The 3,534-nt window shown below is 46.0% G+C and overlaps 1 annotated feature.

Annotated features, from left to right (window-relative positions):
* Positions 406 to 957: an enhancer, noted in NCBI's record as "NANOG hESC enhancer chr11:94083994-94084545 (GRCh37/hg19 assembly coordinates)". NCBI's record gives its function as "activates a minimal SCP1, AML or CMV promoter by ChIP-STARR-seq in naive H9 embryonic stem cells {active_cell/tissue: H9 hESC(naive)}" and the evidence as "EXISTENCE:reporter gene assay evidence [ECO:0000049][PMID:30033119]".

Consider the following 3,534-nt stretch of genomic DNA (forward strand, 5'->3'; position numbering starts at 1 on the left):
TAGACTGTGCCCCCAAAAAAACTTGTCATCCCTACTATCTTCTGTCTAGTCATACTCCTATTCACCATTCTCAACTACTCATACATGCCCTGCTCTTGTTTACACTGCCGGTTTACACTGTTTTTCCAAGCCATCACAGCTGATATCTCCTGGTGCTATCCCCAAACTGCCACTCTAAACTCTTGAAGTAAATAAATAATCTTTGCTGGCAGGACTATGCTGAATCTCCTTAGGCACTCTCTAATCAGATGTCCTCGGTCCTCCCAACTCTTAGACCTTTTATACCTGTTTTTCTCCTTCTCTTATTCCATTTAGTTTTTCAATTCATACAAAACCGTATCCAGGCCATCACTAATAATTCTAAATGACGAATGTTTCTTCTAACAGTCCCACAATATCACCCCTTACCACAGAATCTTCCTTCAGCTTAATCTCTCCAATTCTAGGTTCCCACGCCGCCCCTAATCCCGCTCAAAGCAGCCCTGAGAAACATCGCCCATTATCTCTCCATACCACCCCCAAAAATTTTCACCGTCCCAACACTTTACCACTATTTCGTTTTATTTTTCTTATTAATATAAGACAGGAATGTCAGGCTTCTGAGCCCAAGTTAAGCCATCATATCCCCTGTGACCTGCATGTAGACCACCAGATGGCCTATTCCTGCCTTAACTGATGACATTCCACCACAAAAGAAGTGAAAATGGCCTGTTCCTGCCTTAACCGATGACATTGTCTTGTGAAATTCCTTCTCCTGGCTCATCCTGGCTCAAAAACTCCCCCACTGAGTACCTTGTGACCCCCACTCTGCCCGCCAGAGAACAACTCCCCTTTGACTGTAATTTTCCTTTATCTACCCAAATCCTATAAAATGGCCCTACCCTTATCTCCCTTTGCTGACTCTCTCTTTGGACTCAGCCCGCCTGCATCCAGGTGACTAAAAGCTTTATTGCTCACACAAAGCCTGTGGTCTCTTCACAGGGACACACATGAAAGTGACTAGCCCTCCCCCACCTGCCCAGCAATTTACTCTTAAAAAGGTGGCTGAAGCTAAAGGCATAGTCAAGGTTAATGCTCCTTTTTCTTTATCCCAAATCAGATAGCGTTTAGGCTCTTTTTCATCAAATATAAAAAACCCAGCCCAGTTCATGGCTCGTTTGGCAGCAACCCTGAGACGCTTTACAGCCCTGGACCCTAAAAGGTCAAAAGGCCGTCTTATTCTCAATATACATTTTATTACCCAATCTGCTCCCGACATTAAATAAAACTCCAAAAATTAAATTCCAGCCCTCAAACCCCACAACAGGACTTAATTCACCTCACCTTTAAGGTGTACAATAATAGAGTAGAGGCAGCCAAGTAGCAACATATTTTGGAGTTGCAATTCCTTGCCTCCACTGTGAGACAAACCCCAGCCACGTCTCCAGCACACAAGAACTTCCAAACGCCTAAACTGCAGTGGCCAGGCATTCCTCCAGAACCGCCTCCCCCAGGAGCTTGCTACAAGTGCCAGAAATCTGGCCACCAGGCCAAGGAATGCCCGCAGCCCAGGATTCCTCCTAAGCTGTGTCCCATCTGTGTGGGACCCTACTGGAAATCAGACTGTTCAGCTCACCTGGCAGCCACTCCCAGAGCCCCTGGAACTCTGGCCCAAGGCTCTCTGACTGACCCCTTCCCAGATGTTCTCGGCTTAGCAGCTGAAGACTGATGCTGTCCGATCACCTTGGAAGCCCAGTAGACCATCACAGACACCGAGCTTTAGGTAACTCTCACAGTGGAGGGTAGTCCGTCCCGTTCTTAATCATTATGGAGGATACACACTCCACATTACCTTCTTTTCAAGGGTCTGTTTCCCTTGCTTCCATAACTGTTGTGGGTACTGACAGGCTTCTAAACCTCTTAAAACTCCCCAACTCTGGTGCCAATTTAGACAATACTCTTTTAAGAGCTCTTTTTTTAGTTATCCCCACCTGCCCAGTTCCCTTATTAGGCCAAGACACTTTAAATTATCTGCTTCCCTGACTATCCCTGGACTACAGCTACATCTCATTGCCGCCCTTCTTCCCAATCCAAAGCCTCCTTTGCGTCCACCTCTTATATCCCCCCACCTTAATCCACAAGTATAAGATACCTCTACTCCCTCCTTGGCAACCGATCATGCACCCCTTACCATCTCAGTAAAACCTAATCACCTTTACCCTGCTCAATGCCAATATCCCATCCTGCAGCACTCTTTAAAAAGGTTAAAGCCTGTTATCACTTGCCTGCTACAGCATGGCCTTTTAAAGCCTATAAACTCTCCTTACAATTCCCCCATTTTACCTGTCCTAGAACCAGACAAGGCTTACAGGTTAGTTCAGGATCTGAGCCTTATCAACCAAATTGTTTTGCCTATCCACCCCATGGTGCCAAACCCATATACTCTCCTATCCTCAATACCTCCCTCCACAACCCATTATTCTGTTCTGGATCTCAATCCCTTTGCACCCTTCATCCCAGCCTCTCTTCGCTTTCACTTAGACTGACGCTGACACCCAACAGGCTCAGCAAATTACCTAGGCTGTACTGCTGCAAGGCTTCACAGACAGCCCCCATTACTTCAGTCAAGCCCAAATTTCATCCTCATCTGTTATCTATCTCGGCATAATTCTCATAAAAACACACGTGCTCTCCCTTCTCATCATGTCTGACTAATCTCCCAAACCTCAATCCCTTACAAAACAACAGCTCCTTTCCTTCCTGGGCATGGTTAGATACTTTCGCCTTTAGATACCTAGTTTTGCCATCCTAACAAAACCATTATATAAACTCACAAAAGGAAACCTAGCTGACCCCATAGATCCTAAATCCTTTCCCCATTCCTCTTTCCATTCCTTGAAGACAGCTTTAAAGACTGCCCCCACCCTAGCTCTCCCTGACTCATCCCAACCCTTTTCATTACACACAGCCGAAGTGCAGGGCAGTGCAGTCAGAATTCTTACACAAGGACTGGGATTGCATCCTGTAGCCTTTTTGTCCAAACAACTTGACCTTACTATTTTAGGCTGGCCATCATGTCTCCATGCAGCGGCTGCTGTCGCTCTAATACTTTTAGAGGCCCTTAAAATCACAAACTATGCTCAACTCACTCTCTACATCTCTCATAATTTCCAAAATCTATTTTCTTCCTCACACTGATGCATATACCTTCTGCTCCCCGGCTCCTTCAGCTGTACTCACTCTTTGTTGAGTCTCCCACAATTACCATTGTTCCTGGCCCGGACTTCAATCTGGCCTCCCACATTATTCCTGTTACCACACCTGACTCTCATGACTGCATCTCTCTGATCCACCTGATGTTCATCCCATTTCCCCACATTTCCTTCTTCCCTGTTTCTCACCCTGATCACACTTGGTTTATTGATGGCAGTTCCACCAGGCCTAATCGCCACACACCAGCAAAGGCAGGCTATGCTATAGTACAAGCCACTAGCCCGCCTCTTAGAACCTCTCATTTCCTTTCCATCATGGAAATCCATCCTCAAGGAAATAACT

Source organism: Homo sapiens, chromosome 11 (genome assembly GCF_000001405.40).
Source record: "Homo sapiens chromosome 11, GRCh38.p14 Primary Assembly".
NCBI lineage: Eukaryota > Metazoa > Chordata > Mammalia > Primates > Hominidae > Homo > Homo sapiens.